The sequence below is a fragment of the Homo sapiens genome, chromosome 6, assembly GCF_000001405.40.
Source record: "Homo sapiens chromosome 6, GRCh38.p14 Primary Assembly".
In the NCBI taxonomy this organism is placed as follows: Eukaryota; Metazoa; Chordata; class Mammalia; order Primates; family Hominidae; genus Homo; species Homo sapiens.
Genome location: NC_000006.12, coordinates 132,870,494 through 132,893,084, shown reverse-complemented (window position 1 = coordinate 132,893,084; position 22,591 = coordinate 132,870,494). Strand labels below are relative to the sequence as shown.

General features: G+C 37.4%; 1 long non-coding RNA gene across 2 annotated transcripts in view; it reads right to left on the bottom strand.

Moving 5' to 3' along the window:
• LOC105378008 (uncharacterized) overlaps positions 1-16,485 on the bottom strand; it is an 81,586-nt gene extending 65,101 nt beyond the window's left edge. For both annotated transcript variants that reach the window (XR_001744346.1, XR_943001.2), the window contains exons 1-2: positions 16,392-16,485; positions 8,987-9,147 (exon numbers count right to left, since the gene is read on the bottom strand). This is a non-coding gene — a long non-coding RNA (uncharacterized LOC105378008). The remainder of the gene's footprint in view (positions 1-8,986; positions 9,148-16,391) is intronic.
• Between the last annotated feature and the right edge of the window lie 6,106 nt (positions 16,486-22,591).

Here is a 22,591-nt window from a genome sequence, read left to right as displayed (position 1 = left end):
AAGGACTGTTTTCTATAAGTCATTATCAACATGCTGACTTTGAGAAGTCATGCAAATGAGGAAGCAGGAAATCTGACATTCTCTCAGGTATGGTAATGGAGTGGATGGAGCCCACTCCAGAAACTCTATGTAGGTTTGACATAAAGTCATCACGTAAAGAGCTGTTTGACCCAAATTGAAAGAGGAACTCCAACAAAAATTGTTTTTAAATGAAATAAGATTTAATGGAGTGATTGATATACTTTGTAGAATAACGAGATTTTTTTTTTTTGAGACGAGTCTCGCTATGTTGCCCAAGCTGAGTGCAGTAGCGCAATCTCGGCTCACTGCAAGCTCCGCCTCCCAGGTTCACGCCATTCTCCTGCCTCAGCCTCCCGAGTAGCTGGGACTACAGGTGCCCGCCACCACGCCCAGTTAATTTTTTGTATTTTTAGTAGAGATGGGTTTCACTGTGTTAGCCAGGATGGCCTCGATCTCCTGACCTCGTGATCCACCAGCCTCGGCCTCCCAAAGTGCTGGGATTACAGGCGTGAGCCACCGCACCTGGCCAACAAGATTTTTTTAAAAGAGGCTAATATCCTAGATGACCTTTCTTTCCATTATATAATAAGAAATTAGACAACATGATTTTTGTTTTTAAAGCAGGTAATATGATTAGAAAATGAAACAAGTTTTTACTGACCATTCACATTTCAACTCTTTCCACCATGAATACAATTTAAAGGTTTTTTTTTTTTTTTGAGACACAGTCTTACTCTGTTGTCCAGCCTAGAGTGCAATGGTGTGATCAAAGCTCACTACAACCTCCACCTCCCAGGTTCAAGAGATTCTCCTGCCTCAGCCTCCTGAGTAGTTGGGATTACAGGCACCTGCCACCACGCCTGGCTAATTTTTGTATTTTTAGTAGAAATGAGGTTTCATCATGTTGGCCAGGCTGGTCTCAAACTCCTGACCTCAAGTGATCCACCAGCCTTGGTCTCCCAAAGTGCTGAGATTACAGGTGTGAGCCACTGTGCCTGGCCAAGAATGTATAAAATTTTAATACAGTTGCTGATAGGGTTTCTATCAGAAATTAAACTTAACTGATAACTAAAATTTGTCAAGTACAATACATTGTCACAATAAATTTCTTCCCCCAAAATAGATGTTTTTTCTTAAAAAAAAGCATTAAAGGCCGGGCGCGGTGGCTCACGCCTGTAATCCCAGCACTTTGGGAGGCCGAGGCGGGCAGATCACGAGGTCAGGAGATCGAGACCATCCCGGCTAAAAACGGTGAAACCCCGTCTCTACTAAAAATACAAAAACTTAGCCGGGCGTAGTGGCGGGCGCCTGTAGTCCCAGCTACTTGGGAGGCTGAGGCAGGAGAATGGCGTGAACCCGGGAGGCGGAGCTTGCAGTGAGCCGAGATCCCGCCACTGCACTCCAGCCTGGGCGACAGAGCGAGACTCCATCTCAAAAAAAAAAAAAAAGCATTAAAAAAGATTTTTCATAAACAGCTAAATGACAATAGACACATTGAAAAAAAAAGCAAATCATGTTTATTGATTCTTATGGCTCTCCAAAGAACAAGTTTGAAGTTTTTATACAGAAATGTCAGTTGGTTGCACAGTGATAGAATACAAACATTTGAATCTATTTCAAACAGATTGGCCTTGTGGATGTAGTTCATCCAATAGCACATCTCACTGCTGCTCCTCCCATGGCACAGCTGGCCATCAGTGCTGCTGGGATGCCAGGAAGCACTTCTTTACATACACGGATAGTGGCCAGTCTGAACATTTTTTTAAATTTTACTTTAAGTTCCGGGATACATGTGCAGAATGTGCAGGTTTGTTACAAAGGTATATGTGTGCCATGGTGGTTTGCTGCATCTATCAACCCACCATCTAGATTTTAAGCCCTGCATGCATTAGGTATTTGTCCTGATGCTCTCCCTCTAACCCAATGCAAGGAAGCTAAGAACCTTGATAAAAGGTTACGGGAACTGCTAACTAGAAAAACCAGTTTAGAGAAGAACATAAATGACCTGATGGAGCTGAAGAACACAGCACGAGAACTTTGTGAAGCATACACAAGTATCAAAAGCTGAATGAATCAAGCAGAAGAAAGAATATCAGAGATTGAAGACCACCTTGCTGAAATAAGGCATGCAGACAAGATTAGAGAAAAAAGAATGAAAAGGAATGAACAAAGCCTCCAAGAAATATGGGACTACGTGAAAACACCAAACCTATGATTGGGGTACTTGAAAGTGGCACAGAGAATGGAACCAAGTTGGAAAACACACTTCAGGATATTATCCAGAAGAACTTCCCCAACCTAGCAAGACAGGCTAACATTCAAATTTAGGAAATACAGAGAACACCAGTAAGATACTGTTCGAGAAGAGCAACCCTGAGACACATAATTGTCAGATTCACCAAGGTTGAAATGAAGGAAAAACTGTTAAAGGCAGCCAGAGAGAAAGGTCAGGTCATCTAAAAATGGAAGCCCATCAGACTAACAGCAGATATCTCTTCAGAAACCCTACAAGCCAGAAGAGAGTGGGACCAATATCCAACATTCTTAAAGAAAAGAATTTTCAATCCAGAATTTCTATCCAGCCAAACTAAGCTTCATAAGTGAAGGGGAAATAAGATCCTTTCCAGACAAGCAAATGCTGAGGGGTTTTGTCACCACCAGGCCTGCCTTGCAAAAGTTCCTGAAGGAAGCACTCAATATGGAAAGGAAAAACCAGTACCAGCCACTGCAAAAACACACCAAAATGTAAAGGACCAATGACACTATGAAAAAAACTGCATCAAATAATGTGCAAAATAACCAGCTAGCATCATGATGACAGGATCAAATTCACACATTTGATATTATTAACAATATTAACAATATTAACCTTAAATGCAAATGGGCTAAATGCCCCAATTAAAAGACACAGATTGGCAAATTGGATAAAGAGTCAAGACCCATCGGTGTGCTGTATTCAGGAGACCCATCTCACGTGCAAAGACACACATAGGTTCAAAATAAAAGGATGGAGGAATATTTACCAAGCAAATGGAAAGCAAAAAAAAAAAACAAAAACAGAAACCAGGAGTTGCAATCCTAGTCTCTGATAAAACAGACTTTAAACCACCAAAGGTCAAAAAAGACAAAGAAGTGCATTACATAATGGTAAAGGGATCAATGCAATGAGAAGAGCTAACTATCCTAAATATATATGCACCCAATAAAGGAGCACCCAGATTCATAAAGCAAGTTCTTAGAGACTTACAAAGAGACTTAGATTCCCACAAAATAATCGTGGGAGACTTGAAATTTTTTAAATAGATCCAATACTTGGAAGAAAAGTGATGGCTTTCTGACAAAAAGAAATGTATTGTTCATATTATTATAGCAGGCCCCAGTGGTCAGAGTAAGTTTTGATGTAATTAGAATGGCCAGCAAGTAGCCTACCCATCCAATTAAATCCTCACAATGAGTTTAAGTAGGTAGGCTTCAGCCATTCAGAAGGTTCGTTTTCTTGGACACTTCCAGAAAGACTAAGATTAGACCTCAAATTCCAAACATCATTTGATGCTCATCTGTGTTTTTGCAAATTTTTGACCACCAGGAAGGCAGAGTTCAATAGGAAGTGCTCACTGACTTCCCCTTAAATCATTGTATGAAGTTCCAGTAAGAGTTTCTCAGCCCATGTGGGATTTAAGCAGGAAAAGCCACAGGTAATAAGAGGAAATATACAGAGCTCACAGAGGTCAAATTCGAGGTTTGTTTCCTATGACAAGTCATCTATAATATTTATGCATTTAGTAAATAAGAATGCCTGTTTCATTTACATGATTGGGATGTAATCTATATTACAGAAAAGATGTTAAGAACCCTTGAAAACAGGGCTGCACATCTGTAACATGCTTTGATTGAACAAGTACAACTTAGGGACACCAAAGTGGTGAAATGAAAGAGAAAATTGGTTGGTGCACAAATGTGTCCCTGGTTGACAATTTAACCATTTACTAGTTCCAACATGTTAGGCAAGTTACCCAGTGTATCTCACTTTGCTCAGGTACTAAGTGGAGATAATAATTGTACCTACCTGGATGGTACTGTAGTAAGGATCGAATGTCTTGATACATGCATAATACACTTGGAATTGTGCCTGGCACATGCATCAGGCTTTGCTACTGCTACTACTGCTGCTGTTACTGCTGTAACCTGAGAGCCCAGCAGAGAATGGCATGTAACAGCTACCACATAATGATGTCTTCTACTATAATTTCTAGAAGGAGCTGAAAAATGGCAATAGGTTGCTGAGAATAGTTTATCAAAGTAATCTCACTTAATTCCAAAACAGTGAATAACCAGAGGCCTATGGACAGGTCACCAATACGGAAAAAGGAAAGAAGCATTTCTTGAAGGGAAATCTTGAGACGATTAAGAGTGACTGATTTGAGAGCCATACACCAGAGTGAGAAATGCCTGAGACTAAAGACATCGTCGCAGGAGTAAACGAAACAAAGAGAAAGAGAAAACTAAAAGAAGAAAAAATGTCAAAAAGGTGAGAGTGGTTAGAGGAACTTGAATCCAAGGATTGAAAGGAAGAGAGTAAGGAGAGTATATAACCATTAAAAAGGTGTGATTTCCCCAAAGCAGTCTTCAGTAGAGTTGTTGGGGCAGCAAGATTCTGAGAGATACTGATGTACTGTCAACTTAACCAACTGAACAGTCCATGTTAAACTAGTGATAAGTACAGAAAGATATAAAAAGTACACAAATATCACCTTATATAGAATGTAGAAGATACTGAATTCAAGGTATTTTTGAAGGAAAGGAATATTAAAAGACTATTCCCACGACATCAACAACTACTTCCCTACATGTTCACAAACCTCATCTTGCCCCCTCCTGAACAACAGACCCATAATAACATCTGGATATACTGCAGACTCCTCAGGTATCACCAGCCCAGAGATGAACCACCTCCTCCACTGCCTCTCCTTCCAAAAACTTCCTCCTCGTTTGTCAGCAAATGACCTCAACAGAGTATCAGGTGGCCAAACTCAGTGCTTCCCTTCATCTCTTCCATTCACCTCCTTAGCCAATAAAACAGTAAATCCTGTTGACTCTGCCTCTTCCAGTTCTTTCAAATCTAGCCACCCCATCTCTTCTTAGCCACTGCCTTGTCTAAGACTTAGCAACATTTCATTCACCAGCTTAAAGTCTTTCATTGACTTTTTTGCCTACAAGTTAAAGTTCAAACTCCTTAGTATAGCATATGCGGTTCTTTTTTAATTTTTAAAATATTTGTATTATTTCAGTTTTCTTTACTTTTCTTTTTATATAGTCAAGGTCTCACTGTGTTGCCCAGCCCGGTCTTAAACTCCTGGCCTCAAGGGAACCTCCTGTCTCAGCCTCCCAAAGTGCTGGGATTATAGGCATGAGCCACCATACAGCCACATATGCAGTTCTTTACCATACCAAAGAGAGAGATGGGGAATCCTTACAGAGGCAAGTGTTTTGTTATTAATAGTTTGTGATATAGAGTGCTTAATTTTGCTGGAATTATTTTTCTTCTCAGCCTAGTTCAAAAAGAAACAATGACAAGAGAAAGAGCACCTCACCAATCATATTGTTCCCTACTGAGTCAATTCATTACACTCTCTATCACAGAACGTACCATGAATGTTTCACAACTCTGGATATCTGAACATGTTATTTCCTGTCTCTCTAACTGGCAGGCTCCCACCCATGCATCCAAGATTCAGCTCAGATATCACCTGCTCTATGCAGCTTTTCCCAACTTCCCAAGGCAAAGTTTATTCCTCTCCACTGTGTTCCCACAGCATTTTAGGACCTCTCCCATGAAATATATTTTCCATTTAAAATCTCATAGCCAGGTTCTCTAGGGCCAGGCATAATTCACAGGAGGTGCTTAATAAATGTCTATTGAACAAATTGAATCTAGAGGTGTCTAAAATGAAAGTTCCATCAGAAGTAGGTAACAAAGCAAATGTACCAATTAAAATAATTTCTTAAAGACAGATGGATGAATATCACTTAAGCAGAAAAGAATTCCCAAGAGCTATTGTTGGCAACTAAACATAGTTAAAAAAATGAGCTAGAAAAGAGTTACAAGAAAAATAATTTACATTTCAAATCATTATTTACTTGTGGTTCTAACCTTGAGAACATTTTAGCTGGATAAGTGTACTCATGCTTGTTGGAGGAAAATCCAAGTTTTTCATTGTCTGGTACACACCAAGCAGTACAACCACTTCCGTCTCCCAAATAATTCCTTTAGCCCTGAATCTTATCCACAAATTTGTCCACTGCCAATCTTTCCACACTCTCCATGCTGCTTCAGAATCTCTTGTCCTCACCATATTTGTGAGTAAAATTGGGTGACTGTGCCTACTTGGTATTGCCACACAACTAGCAGAAAAAAGGAGTGAGAGCCAGTGCCTGACGGCCCAGCTAGCTGAAGTCCTATCTGCCACCCAGGAATAATGTTAGGAAGACAGTGTAACTTCCCTTTTTCTACACTTCAACTTCCAGCCATTACAAACTATTCTAGTGATTTGTTTCACCCTTTCTTACCTTGGCCTGCCCTAACATTACCTATTTGAAGGTGGACACCATCTATACTCATTTGCTGGGCCTACTGTAAGAGGTGCCGCTTAAATATCTAGGCCCAACCAAGCGTGGCGGCTCACGCCTGTAATCACAGCACTTTGGGAGGCCGAGGCGGGCGGATCACGAGGTAAGGAGATCGAGACCATCCTGGCTAACACGGTGAAACCCCGTCTCTACTAAAAATACAAAAAATTAGCCAGGTGTGGTGGCGGGCGCCTATAGTCCCAACTACTCGGGAGGCTGAGGCAGGAGAATGGCATGAACCCGGGAGGCGGAGCTTGCAGTGAGCCGAGATAGCGCCACTGTACTCCAGCCTGGGCGACAGAGCGAGACTCCATCTCAAAAAAAAAAAAAAAAAAAATCTCTAGGCCCAAGCATTGGTTACATCTATTCTAGTTATTTTCATAAAACAGTTCTGTAGTTTGACACCTGAGGCTCTGTGAGTGATTGCAAAGAAGGCAGTTTTAAAACATGGCCTCAAAACTCTTGACACCCTCCTACTATGAGGTGGAGCACGTGTTCCACTCCTTGTGCCTGGGCTGTGGGGCGGCGTGACCCATAGACAAAGGAAATGCCACTGTGTCAGCTTTTGAGCCCAGACCTTAAGAAACTGACGAGATCTACTTCCTGTCTCTTGGGACACTGGCTCTCAGAACACAGCCACCACGCTCCTAGGAAGCCCAAGCAGCCCAGGTCAACTGGAACCAAGGCCCCTGGTTTACGGTCCTGGCAGCTTCAAGGTGACGGCCAGCACCCACTTGCCAGCCAATGCGAATGAGTCATCTTGAAAGTAAACCCTCCAGACCCCCGGGGAGCTGCCCTTTCTGATGCTAGGAGGCACGAAAAAGGGTTATCCCTGCTAGCATCACTCAAATGACAAACTGAGGTACAAAATAAATGACAGTCATTATTGTGAGCCTCTAATTTTTAGGATGGTTTGGTACAGAGCAATATATAACTGTTAGAGCAAAGTAACTGACCAATGAATGATAAGAAACTGTTCAATTCCAGACCAGGTTTTCATATTAAAAAAACAAAACAAAACAAAAAACCATACTGGATTTATAAGCCATTTAGCTGAAAATGTCTTTCTTAACTTATTATTCTCAAAAAGTTTAAATCATACAAAAGTCATGAGATGAGTTTACCCATCATGTACGTACCCATGACCTACCTTAAATAATTTTTAATGAATGGTAAATCCAATATGAATTTTAAAGCAAATCCAAGGCATCATATCATTTCATTCCTAAATACTTGCAGTATGTCTTTAACAGAAATCAATTATTTTTTAGAAAACATTTAAAAATACCATTTTTGCATCTAAATTAGCAAGTCCTTAGTAGTATCTTAATATTACCAAAGATCCTACCACTATTCAAAAAAAATTTTTTGAGACAGGGTTGGCTCTGTTACTCAGGCTAGAGTGCAGTGGTGCAATCTCCACTCACTGCAACTCTGCCCTCCACACTCAAGTGATCCTCCTACCTCAGGCTCCAGTGTAGCTGGGACCACAGGCATGCACTCCATGCCTGGCTGTTTTTTTGTATTTTTAGTACAGACGGGGTCTCGCCATGTTACCTTGGCTGGTCTCAAACTCCTGAGCTCAAGCGATCCCAAAGTGCTGGGATTACAGACATGAGCCACCATACCTGGCCTGTTTGCTTTTTTTTAATTTGTTAAAGTCTGTATTCACACAGGGCATTAAGCAGATTTGTTATTTAACCCTCATTAAAAAATCTGTAGATTCTCCCTCTTGTTTTATTTTTTCATCATTTTTACTTATTGAAGACTCCTAGTCATTCGTCCTGTAGATTTTCTCATATTCTGGATATTGCCAACTGTATGTCTGTGGTTTGGTTTAACAAGATCTTCTGTCCCCTATACTCAGGTCGTATCCAAATACTTGGTACACTTCAATTGGATTTTTGAAATTTCTTGTTTTGCTAAAAATCGATGCTTTGAGGGTTTTCTCAAAACTGATGTTTGAGTCATGAAAGACACAGTATGTCTTTGTTCTACAATCTTATTACTGAGAGAGCAGTGGCCCAGTTCAGACTTGGTGACAGTGCCAGTTACTTAAAAAACAACTCCTTGAGTCTAATGATAGCCATGCAGGTTCATTAGGAGAAGATCAGATCTTCTCCTAAATAACTCTGACTTTTACTGCCCTGCCCTCCACAACACAAATAACATAAACTCATTCATTTTACAAACAGTAAACAAAGATGAATAAAGTAAAGTACTTGTCTTCAAGAAGATCATACTCCAGTGGAACACAGAAATGTGAAATTTATAGGACAAAGTGGCAATTGCAATTACAGAGATAAGCAACGTTGCAAAGACACCTCCCTGGGCTTACTTCTCTTTTGCCAGTGAATGAAGCTTTCCGCAGGTCATCAGCAGAACAGCAGATAGTATGGTAGCTGAGAACACAGACTCTAATATAAGCCACTGTCTGGTTTCAAGTCCTGGCAACATCAGTTCAAATCCTCTAACCTCTGTCTGCCTCAATTTCTTTATCTATAAAACAGGGATAATAAGAAAACAACAATAAATTATTAAGGTAAAGATCGTTAAAGTAGGAATTATCAAAATTAATGCATGAGAAACACTGAAATCAGTACCTAAAACACAGTAGATATTTATTTGCTCCTATGGAAGTTACCATGAAAATGTATGGCCTTAATAAAATGTTTAAAATCTCTTTTGAGATAATAGGCTACTAGATCGGTACCAAAAAGTCCTGCTTGTTAGGAAAGGCTAGGTCTCAGCTGAAAGAAGCCTCAATCTAGTGTAGATTTTTTGAAGACTACAATAGAATATCTAGACACAGGGACCTGCGTATAGGCAGAGTAAGAAGTTGTCTATTCAGAATTGTTTTAGGACTTTGCCCTTGCTCCAAATAAACTATCTTCCCACAGGGCCATTGGAAGTGCCTCTGGGTCAAGAATTTCAGGATGCATGGTCTCATTTGTCCGGGAAGGAGTAATACATCTAGATCACTGAACCTGGCAAAGCTTCATTTTTCAGATTAGTCATTCCCTTTTCTTTAAGACTTTTCTTGAGGAACCAAATGCAGGAGAAGTCATTTTGATGTTAGGAGGAGGTTGGGAATGTTCTAGGCCTCCTAATATGCCAGCAGAACAGATTCATGTAGGGTACTGAAGTAAAAGGCTATAATCACCCAGTGAGTAGCTTGGTATCAGGTATCCAAGATAGGAGTGAACAGGTATCTTAAAGGCAACCCTCACTGCACAGTTTATGCCAGGCTAAACTTTAGCCTGCCTTCATGCTATCTCCTTCACACCTATCCTGCCATATAGCTAATATCCCTTTGTTTAGTTCAAAACTCTTTCCTTAGCAAAAAAACTATACTCGGGAAAGCATCTAAAAGGATCTGAGGCAAACCACTTACACTTTTGGTTTTAAGACTTCTTTTGAATTCTAGAATGAAAAGTTATACTTCTCATTAAAGACCTTCCAAGACTTTGAAAAGAATAGTGCTTGCTTTTACCAGGGTACATATATATATATATATACCTTTTAACCTGCCATGCAACTCTTGCTAGTTTAATGACTAGACCTTTAATTTAGCCAATAATTGTGATATCATTATGGGAGCCCTGGAGTGTCATATAAAATGTTATTCTAGTGGGCACATGGGATGATCATTCAGATGCACAGTCAGAAATGAGAAACAAACTTGGGCATTAATAATTCATTGCTTGCAATTTTCATCTCAAAGAAACATTTGAACGATGATGCTTCTTTGGTTGGCAGCCTTAGATATTCATTAAACTTTATTTGAATTTTACATGGTCCTATTAATTCATTTAATGCCATTTTGTATGAAAATAATAAGCAATTTTAAAAAGCAAAAGATCAAACAAAATGTGTTCATCTAATAAGATTATTCCTAAAAGTTCACAATTATGAAAAATAATTAGATGATCATTTATTTCATCCAGATCAATATACCTGTTTATTTAAAATTATTTTTAAGTGTAAGGATAAAAGAGATTACATTCATCCATCTCATTAATGATAATGAATGTATTTTTCACCAACTAAATCAACTCATTTTTGAGACACTTGTGATTTTCTTCCTTATTAGCATGTCATACCAGGGAAGGATTATTGTGGCAGCAATTTGTTTCAGATTTACTCTGTCAGATCAGCCACTGATGACTTGAGACCACCCTCATCTGAGATAGAAAATGGAGCTTTTTGTTGAAATGCTGGAGTAGCAGATCTAGTCATATAATTTGAAAACCTTTAATCACGAACTTTTCTTATTTGTCATTTCTTCCTAGTTCTCAGTCCAAGTTATTTTCTTTAATATTTAGTGGAGAGAAGTAAAGCATTTGAAACTTTAGTTTGCCTTTTCTTTTCAATATAGTTAATGGAATCAAAACTCCTTGGGAACAAAAATATGCAAAACAAGTATACATGAACAATACTTTTAAATGCACCCAATTTTATTAGAATCATATCTACTGCTCTTAATTATGTCAAACAGAAAAATGAGATGGATTTAAAAATAACAAACTTTTTTTTTTTTTTTTGAGACAGAGTATTTTTCTGTCACCCAGGCTGGAGAACAGTGACGCGATCTCGGCTCACTGCAACGTCCACCTCCTGGGTTCAAGCAATTCCCCTGGCTCAGCCTCCCAAGTAGCTGGGATTACAAGCACGCACCACCATGCCCAGCTGATTTTTGTATTTTTAATAGAGACAGGGTTTTGCCATGTTGGCCAGGCTGGTCTCAAACTCCTGACCTCAGGTGATCCGCCTGCCTCGGCCTCCCAAAGTGCTGGGATTACAGGCGTGAGCCACTGAACCCAGCCAAGTATATGGAATTTCTATAAGATTCTGTATTCCAGATGTGTTTGGAATTAATAAATTATATTAAACTTTCTTAAAATGAAAAATGATGAACTGATGGACTAAATAATTTAATGTGGTGTGATGCAATAAAGGAAACTGAAAAAGATGGTGGGAAAGTTACTTGTGTTCTAATCCCACATCTACAGTATACAAACAAAACACAATATCTGGAGCAAGTCATTTAACTTCTCGAAGTTTTGTTGACTCATCTTCAAGCAGGGGATATTATTTATCAGCTTCAGAGCAAGGACTGGACCAAATTTTCCACGGAGTTCATTTGAAGCTCACAGAACTACTATTTTATAAACATCTACAAATTCGTCACAACCTTCATGATTGAAAATTAGATCATAACAGCACAATTAAAATTTTACAAGCCATTAACCATCAAATTTAAGCATCAATCCAAATTACTCAGACAAAAAAAATTGTAAAGCTTATATTCTTAGCTAAAAAATATGATTAATAAGTAGCAAATTATTTGTATGTAATCATGAGTTAGATTTATGTAGATATGTTCATTTATAACCAATTTTGCCTTAAAAAATACTTAAATCAGTAATGTAAAAAAATCAGCAAGGTTCAAGCAATCTTTATTCTTACCTCAGAGTAGTTTAATAATCATAATCACATCTAAATATAATAGAAAATGCAAGGAAAATTGCAAAATATTTTTAAGAGCGGCATTTTTAGAATCAACCTTGCAAATGGCCTTTTAGAAGTCTCCACTGTGTAAAATAAATATGAAATGTATTCCTTCAATTCAGGCCTAAGCCCACCCATATAAGGTGGTAAAGAGTTCCCCTTTCAAATCTCTCAATTTTATATTTGGGTATGAACAATTACGTATATGTATGCATCTGCTTGGATGGGTCCACTGAGTATGTTTAAGTTGTAGGATTTTCCCTTGCTTAGTGCATTATACTTACAAGAAAAATTTGTACTTTCCCAGCCAACTAAATAATAAAAAAAATTTAACTCATTTTGGGATTTTCCCTCACTCACATACACACTCGTTCAACAAGCACACACACATGTGCGAACACACACGTTTTAGTTGTACTAAACTTAATGTGAAATTTTAGATTAGAGTCTCATTTATTGGCAATTCTGGGAAGGGGTTTTAGCTTAATCCTCAGTTAATGAAACCCTTGCTAGTGAATTTCCTTTGTCAACACTGCATTTAATGTATAGTGCTTCATACCTGCTAGATCATCAAAACCCACAAAGTGATTAGGTTCAACTGGAAAGCAAAAGTTGGAAGGCAAGATTTTTGTAAAAATTTTATAAAAAGATTATGCTCAGAAATTACATGGGCTGACTCTATTTAAAAACTATTTTCCAGTTTCTGTGTTTTGCTGTTAAAAGCAATGAACAGCCTATGCTTCAAACATAAACCATTTCTTGGAAATCAAGCCTGATTGATATATGGCTTCTTGAATAAAAGCAATCAGGTCAGATACTGGCTCAGATTAAACCAGTATGGCCACTTTTCCTTCTTTTGTCTTTTCAGGGCTAGACACATACATGAAAATGACTTTTTTAAAAAAATTACTGCAAATACCTACCCAGAATTGTTGGCAAATATAGTACATATGACAAACACTGGGTTTAAAGGAAGCTATCAGTGATTCATATACTATTTTACATTACCCCCCTTTCAAAATGATGGGCTACAATAACATTCAGTAAATATGAAATATACATAACAATTTTTCTTTGGAGGAATAAGAGACACTTCTAGATTAGGCATTGTCTTCTAATATGGTACCCAAGGTAGCTAAAGCAGAATTACCTCTAATAAGTTAACAGTCACAAGGCAGAAATAGGCATTACAGAGATCATCAAAGGCAAAAACACTTGGATTTTAATGTGAAAAATCTATTATATAGTTGAGGCTTAAGTTTACTTAATAGCATAAAACCTACTTCTTTGATCAAAAAGTATATCAGAATTCCACTTTGATCCCTTCATCTTTGGTGTTTCTTCAAGGGAATTAATTCATATCACTATATCACTTTAAAGCAATAATATTAGTTCTTATTCAGAATAAAGTAGAAGACAGATATGAGATCAAAAGTTTATTTTTTAAAAATTGTAAGATACTGCATATTTAAAACTGGTCTGCTAAAAAAAAAAAAGACTTCTTTTGTATGAATGGTTTTTATATTTAAAGTTGCATGATATTAAATTAGCATGTAGTTCAGCCAAATGCCTTCCAGTAATTTTTTAGTCTTGTCAGTTTAATTGTTACCACATTCATTTGAAGAAAAGCTAAAAAAGGCTGGATATAGTGGCTCATGCCTATAATTCTAGCACTTTGGGAGGCTGAGGTGGGTGGATCCCTTGAGCCCAGGGGTTCGAGACCAGCCTGGTCAACATGACGAAACCCCACATCTACCAAAAATACAAAAAAGTTATCCTGGTGTGGTGGCACACATCTGTGGTCCCAGCTACTCGGGAGACTGAGGTAGGATAACGCTTGAGCCTAGGAGGCAAAGGTTGCAGTGAGCCAAGATCTGGCCTCTGTACTCCAGTCTGGGCAACAGAGCCAGATTCTGTCTCAAAAAAAAAAAAAAAGACTTTAATTCAAAATTCCTTGTAATATGAGATATAATTGTTTTGAGTGAACTTCTTTGATGCTTGGCTACACACACACAAAATCTAAAACACACAAAGAATAAAAAATCCAGATAGAGGCCTAACCCCTAGGTATGAAAGAAAAATGTCTACCAGCTCTTCACAGAGATTGGCATTAACTCCTATGCAGTAAATAGTGTGAGGCTTAATAATAATTCAATTCTGTCCTTTTAGAAATTCACCAAACCTTTGTTTCCATGACCCCTATTTCTAAACTCATCAGTCTGTTACTTCAGTGTGTAAAAAGTATTCTCTTTTCTTTCCTCTAGCTATACTACTCACTAATTTTTTTAAAATTCTGAATTTTTGTTCTACATAAAGGTATGTCATGATAAACATGACTTTAGACTTTTATTATATAATACCAAGAGAAAGAAGAGGTACATATACATGTGTTCCGATGCATATATGTAACGGCAACTTATATTACAATGAGAGGGTTTGTTTCTAAAGAAAACTAGTCATCAAAACAGAAAGTCAAAGATGGGGGTAACGGGTATACAGCCCTTTCTCCTGTGTACTGGGTATGTGTGTAAATAGTCTGTCATCACCTTATTCTGTCTCAAGCAGAATGGTCTGTGACATGCAGTAGGCTTTGCCCAATGTTATTAGAATATCCTTCCCTTTCAGGCAGCTATTTAAGTGTGGATTCAGAGCTCTTTCTTCTCCTTGAACTAGTAAAGTGGGAATGTGGTATACTCCTTCTTTACAAGAATATTTTGGAATATATAATAATGCATTGATTTAAATCTTTGCAATAGGTGCTGTAGTATTAAGAGCCCCTGAAGAGCCTTGAGCTTTTGTGGAAGTAAAATCTCTATAAATAGTAATGAGGTCAATTTTCTCATATTTTGAAGGGCACGAATGAAGGTTTATAGAAGGGGATGGAGCAAAGGGAGCATAAGCCTGGATGTCATGATTTTCAAGTGTTTACAACACTTCTGTTCCAGTGACAGAGCAAAGCTAAACTTACAGTCCCTTTAAAATATGAGACTCAAGCTCATTACTACCATGGTGGGTATTCTCTCCATTCTTTTACTGCACCCTGAAATCATTCCTTCAGTTTATAGGTGAGTTTACAATATTTTTAAAAGAAAGGAAAAAAATCTCAAATAGGCCAATTAAAACAGCAATTCAAACAGGTAGTATGAACACCATTTGGATGTCAGTATATACCCATAGAAGAAAAGTAGGTAGGGCAATTGGGAATATTTTAAATCTTTCATTAATCCCTGTTGGAGACCTGAAAAAATAAATGAATTAATGACACTTTGTATGCCTGTTATCTATGGGTCACAAATTTGGCTCTCTATGATTTCAAGCAACAAAAGCATAAATTCAATTTATAAGATTCAATATTCATAAGATTCAAACATAACAACTATTTGGGAAAAGTACTCCTTATAGTGAGGCTAGAGAGAATGCTTTCCCTTGAGGTTCTCATAAGCTGGACCCCATGTCATGTAACAAGCAACATCCTAAATGTGGATACAGCAACACATTTATTAATAATAGGGGCATCTTTGCTACAATCAAAGATAATGGCCTCATGCCAAAGGGCAATTTCATAAAAGCAATAGGAGTGGATTTTGGGAGAAGACAGAGGTGGAAATCTTGTAGCTTTTTCACTCCTGTTGTTGGTTGAGTGGGAGGGAGTGTTACAACTCTTTTATTCCCACCACAGGCAAGCTCCAGGTTCTTGTCTCATGACCAAGAAGAATAAGGCACACAGCCACCAAGAGTGAGTAAGGCAGAGTCGGATTTCTTAAGTGACAGAAAAGCTCTCAGCAAGGAGAGGGGACCCAAAATAGGGTTGCTGGCTGAGGAGCTAAGTTCGGGGGTTTTATGGCCTGGGAAGGAGGACTGGTCTGCACATCTTGGAGAAGGCACCACTCAGAAACAGAAAGGATAGTGAAAAGAATCATTTGGAGGCAGAGGTGAAGGCTTGGCCCACAACCAAACAGGGGCTGGAGTGATGTTACTTTATCCAAACGAAGATTTGGCCCTCAGCCAATCACAGAATATGTAAAATAGGTGAACAGTAAGGACCAATCAGGAGAAAGCACGTGAAACAAGAAAAAGGCACACCAAGGAGAGAGAAATATGTCCAAAAAAGGAGTGGAATTTGTTCATCTGGGTTCATAGTAGGTGTTTCCATTTTGGGGCCTGTAGCTTGATTTTCAGGCTGTTCTTAGTTTGAAGTTTTACCAAGGACCCACCCTAACTCCCTGCCTGACCTGGTTTCTTCCTTCCTCCTCTCTCAGAAGTCAATGTTGTGCAGAGTTGTGGCTCTCTGTGGCTTCATGTTGGAATAGAATTTAGAATATTTATGAGTGAACAAACAATAAATATTTACCTATATATGTTCACCTAAGACAATATTCTATAGATATTCACCTAAGCTTTGAAACCTATTGAGTGACATTAATATAGATTAAAATTCCTATCAAGTACTGAGAGTTATCAAGCAAGAAAACAATGAAACTTTAGTAAAAGATAGTTATAGAGGGTTACTAGAATCTCAGTGAACATACAAATTTGCTATTCTTAATACAATGTGGAAAGAAAAGATTATAATATTTATTTAAGGGAAGAAACATGTGCAACTATTCAAAAAAAGAACAATGGAAATGACGATAATGGTGATTAGACCTACTATATATTAAAATCCATTACAAATCTACAATTATATATACATATGGAATTGGTATAATATCAATGGGCCAGATCCTAAGACAGTTTTGCTGGAATGAAATAAGCTATTTAGAAAGAAAAACAGTCTGAGACATCCAGCAGAAACCATAACCCAAATAAATTCCAGTTCAATATAAAAGTGTGTTACTACAAAAAGAAATTTTAAACTAATAGAAAATATAGGTAAAACCCATGTAATCTCCTCTTTAAAAAGGACATTCTTAAACAAATTTTAAGAACAATCTTCAGTAAACTAAACAGTCATGCAAAAGATGCAATGATGAAACCTAACTGGATTTTGGATAAAGTAATAAAAGACTATAAAATAATGAAAGACTTATTTGAGGAGCAATAGGAAAAATTCAAATAAGGACTGGATATTAGATATTATGTAATTTTTGGTCAGGCACCATGGCTCACACCTGTAATCCCAATACTTTGGGAGGCCAAGGCAGGTGGATTATCTGAGGTCAGAAGTTCAAGACCAGGTTGGCCAACATGGTGAAACCCCGTGTCTACTAAAAATACAAAAATTAGCTGGGCATGGTGGTAGGCACCTGTAATCCCAGCTACTCGGGAGGCTGAGGCAGGAGAATTGCTTGAACGTGGGAGGCGGAGGTTGCAGTGAGCCAAGATCACATCACTGCACTCCAGCCTGGGCAACAAGAGTGAAACGCTGTCTCAAAAAAAATTAATTAATTTTTAAAAAAGATATTATGTAATTTTTGTTAATTGTCTTAGGTGTTTTAATGGTATTGAAGTACACAGGAGAAAGTCCATATTCTTAAGAGATGCACAACGAAGAAGATAGCAGCCCAGTGTCATGATGTCTGAAGCTTACTTTCAAATAGTTCAACAATAATAAAGAAATCTCTCTCATATATTTATATATACACATATATATACATATATGTATATGTATGTATCATATTTTGAAGACAGAGAAAGGAGAGAAAATGTGACAAACTTTTATCAGCTCGTGAAATCTAAGTAAAGAGTATACAGGGCTCATTGGATTATTGTTTTAATTTTTCTGAGTCTGGAAATTTTAAAACAAAAAGTTGAAAGAAAAATAAAGTTGAAAACCAAAAGAACATTAGATTTAATGAGTTAAAAGTGTAACACATCTATATGTTAAAAAAAAAAAGATACTTCTAAGTTACATGGCAAATGCTTATATTTTTAACAAACAAAAGGTTCATAAAAGTTATTAAGGAAAACATTAGAAAACCCCAAAAGGAAAAATGATGCAAACAGATGCTCCCCAGAAAAACTTCAAGTGACTAATAATATATGAGAAAATCATCACTGAGAAAATAATGTCAATCTCACTAGTCATCAACAAGGGAAGATTTTTTTCCCCTATAAAAGTTAGCAGTTTTATTTGTTTATTTGTTTTGTTTTGTTTTGTTTTGTTTTTAATGGTTATACTTAATACTACAAAGGGTGCCAGAAGAGACATCTTTTCAGTGTTGAAGGGCTTGCAAAATGGTACAAGAATTCTGGAAAGAAAATTTGAAGTGGTTTCAGAAACATGAAGAGTGTGCAAAATTTGATCAAGTAATTATGTTTCTGGAAATTTATTCCACAGGAATAACCAAAACTTGGACACAGATTATACACCAAAAATATACATTGTCACATAATGCAGTTATAATAAAGTAAAATGAGAAACAATTTCAATGTCCACTGTTAGGGTATAGGTAAGCAAAATTTTACTACATGGCACATCCACGAATAGAACATTATGACGTTGCTAACAATGTATATAAAAACTTTAATGACATAAGAAACTTCTTATAATAAAATCTTGAGTGAGAAAAACAGAGTACCAAGCCATACATGCACTATTCCTCCATTATGAAAAAGGTTTATTTAAAAATCGTGAAAAAAATGCTGAAAAAAATACCATGACAAAATATGAACAATGGTTGCCTGTAGGTAGTGTGATTATCCATGTCTTGTTTCCATTTTTATACTATTCTGTATTCCCCAAACTTCTTGTTGTGAACAATACCTGCTGCTAAGTGAGATATAAATAAAGTTCATTTAGAAATGCTTGCAAAGACATTAATAAAGAGAAAGAAGAGAGCCTTCAGGTTACTTTGAGGTAACCAAAAACACACTGGAGCCCATCCAACGCTGACTTGGTAATATAAATACATGTGTAACATAAATATTACATAATATTTAATATGTTTATATTTAATAATAATATATAAAATGCATTACGTAAACAGAAATAAAAACAAATCATATACCCCAGAGGCCAAACATAACTTTTTGAAGACTTTCCAAACAAGCTCTGTTTTTCTGTGTTTTTATGAGGGTCAAAACGTTCTCCAGAGTTTTTTGTTTGCCTATTTGTCCTGTTTTGTTTTGTTTTTATTTTCAGATAAAAGAATTGAACATTAAGTAAGTGGGAAACTCTGACATGGGGAAAAAGAAAGTTGTAGGACTATAACCGAATGAAACACTCTGAACATACACTTCTGCCCTGTACTACTACTCCGTATTTGTAATTAGACACCTCTTTGAGCAAAATTAACTTTTTTGAATCATAGAAACTCACTTATCTTAACAATATAAATCTGTTCTGCATAAAAAAAATCAAGATATGGGGAAAGACATACATATTATTGGTTTAAATTTTTCACATATTTATTTTTAATCTCCAATTAAATTTAAAGACTTGGACTGGAAAAATCAATCATTTTGTTTGCCCATGATTTCCCTGTGCTTCCTAACACTGTTTTAAGATCTACTCATACCCCCTTTCTCAGAGAGAATGTTCCCACAGGACTCACTGAATGCACAGAAAGACATATGACCCAGAACCCAGGCATGGCTGATTGGACCCAAAGGTCACCTAATCCAAGTGCAGTCTCTGTGATTCTCTCTTCGGAGAATTTCCAGTTAAAATACAGAGAGGCCCAGTTCATTTTCTGAGGGTACTCTACCTGTCAAGTTACTGAATTGGTGGCTGGGATTAACACCTTATTTTTGTGTTAATAAGCCAACCAACAGAGCTGGTCTATGAAGAAAACCAAGAAAAGAAAGTAGAAACCCATCGCTATGTGATGAACACAAATGATGCAGAGAAAGTGGGTGGATTAAAATGCTGTGGTTTCTGAGGGCTTTCTAGTTCTCTATTTCAGCACCTCACTCAGGCCTGCCTACACATCCTACCTTTGGTTTCATATATCTAATATCTTATGAAAACTTTCCCTTTATTTAAACAAGCTTTAGTTGTTATTTTGTTGCTTGCTACCAAAGCATCTGTCTTAGTCTGTTCTGACTGCTATAACAAAATACCAAAAGTTAAGTAGCTTATAAACAAAAGAAATTTATTTATCACATTTCTGAAAGCTAGGAAATCCAAGATTAAGGCAAATTTGCTGTCTGTTGAGAGCCCATTTTTCTGGTTCATGGATGGCACATTCCCACTGTTTCCTAACATAGTCGGGGACAGCCCTGTTTATAAGGACACAAACCCCATTCATGGGGGCTCTGCCTCCATGACCTAATCACCTCCCAAAGGCCTCACCTCCTAATACCATTAAATTGGTGATTAGGTTTTCAATGTATGAATTTTAGGAGGCCACAAACATTCACAACATTCAGACCATAGCAACATCCTTAGGTAAAATATATACTTTTCCTTTCTAAATTACAGTGAAAGGTGGACAAGCTGTGTATTTTTTATCCATCTTTAACAGATCAGGAACTGAGTCAAATAATTTAATATCACATGGCTAGTTACTGAATCCATGGGACCTGAACTTAGATTTCCAATTCTAGTTCTTCTGCTGTTAACTCCTCTGTGTCCAAAGGGCAATGCTGTCCTAAAAGCCATTGAATACATCAGCAGAGGTCTGCTTTCAAGGTGCTATAACTGGGTAATTGCTACATCCAGGTCCTACTCTGGTAGCATTGTGCAAGGAGGCCATGGGTGAACAGTTCAATTGAAAGCCTCAGGACCACTTACTTATAGTTCTACCACCAAATTTGTAGAAAAACTCCAAAAAACTGTTTTGACATTAACTGTTAACCAAAATTTATTGCAGCTTCTATTTTAACTACAGCTATACTGTCGGTATTTAATTGTTCTTTTCATCAAGAGAAAAGCAAGTGAAAATACTTTCTAGTTCCAGTGTTTAAAATATTCTGTAAACTCAATCAAACATCTTCAAATCTATCTAAAGAGGAATAAACAGCTGAAGTCAGCCAGAATCTACTCTATGCTCTTCAATATAGTATAACTAAAGAAATACAGTTAATTTACTAATACCTATTATAATAGCTACCTTTGTTTTTGAGACAGAGTCTTGCTTTGTTACCCAGGCTGGAGTGCAGTGGCTCACAGCAGCCTCAACCTCCCTGGCTCAAACGAAACTCACATGTCAGCCTCCCAAGTAGCTGGAACTACAGGCACTCACCACCACACCTGGCTAACTGTTGTATTTTTTTATAGAGATGGGCTCTCCCTATGTTACCCAGGATGGTCTCAAACTCCTGGATTCAAGCAATACTCCTGCCTCAGCCTCTCAAAATGCTAGGATTACAGACAAGAGACGCTGTGCCTGTGCTACCATTTTTTAAGTGCCTACATTGTGCCAGGCACTTGTCTGGGTTCTTTGCACATGTTATTCTTTCATTCATTCAACAAATATTTATTTTATTGATCATACTATGTGCCACTCGCTGTTCACACGTGACAATTCCTGAGAACACAACAATGAACAAAATGAAGTACATGCTCTCAACAAGTTTCTTAGACTTCATTTAATTGTTACAATCAACTCACTGTTGTTATCATTTTTTTAAAGGAGGAAAATATCCCCCCAAAAGTTAAGTAATTTACGCAAGGTCACCCAATTGATGAGTAACCTAGACTTCAGACTTGAAATTTCAGATTCTTTCCATTTGACCACATTGCCTCTCATTAAATCATTGAGTATGGAAAGTGAGACATATTTATAGCCAGGAGAACATGGTTATGAAGCTGATAATCACTGATAATCCATGCCAGGACCTTCTCACATATATCAGTTTCTTGATGCATTTACTACAAATGTAGATTACTTTCCATAAAGTAATACTCCCATTGAAACCAATATTTCCTAAAACACTTAAACAACACTTGAAATATATCATTGGATTATCACTGGATCAGAATCTAAAATACTCCAAAGTCAATAGAAACAACTTTCCAGATGTTCAATATAAGGTGAATGCAAGCAATTTCATTAAATCAAATTAGGCTAATTTTGTTTTTATTTTAATTCATTCATATATATTGAGTTCCTCTTATGGGCCAGAATCAGTTCTAAGTGCTTGAATACTAGAATGAAAAAACAAACTCCTACTCCAATGGAGTTCATAAAAAAAAAAAAAATGTTGTCATAAGGTTGCAAGTGCAGAAAAGAAAAATAAAGTATGGTATGGGACTAGGGGCATAAGGGGCCAGGACTTATCATTTTAAATAGGCAGGTCAAGAAGGGTCCCATTGAAAAGGTAAAATCTGAGCAAATTCCTAAAAGAATTGAGACAGTGAGCCACATGGGTATCCAAGCAAAGGACTCATCAACTTCAGTTTTCCTAAGGTGAGCATATCGAGGTTATCGGGAACATCAGGATCAGAGAAGTAGCAGGCACCGGGTTATGTAGGATCTTATAGGCCATCATAAGGAGTTTGGCTTTTACTCTGAGTTACATAGGAGGTTATTGGAGAGTTTCAAAC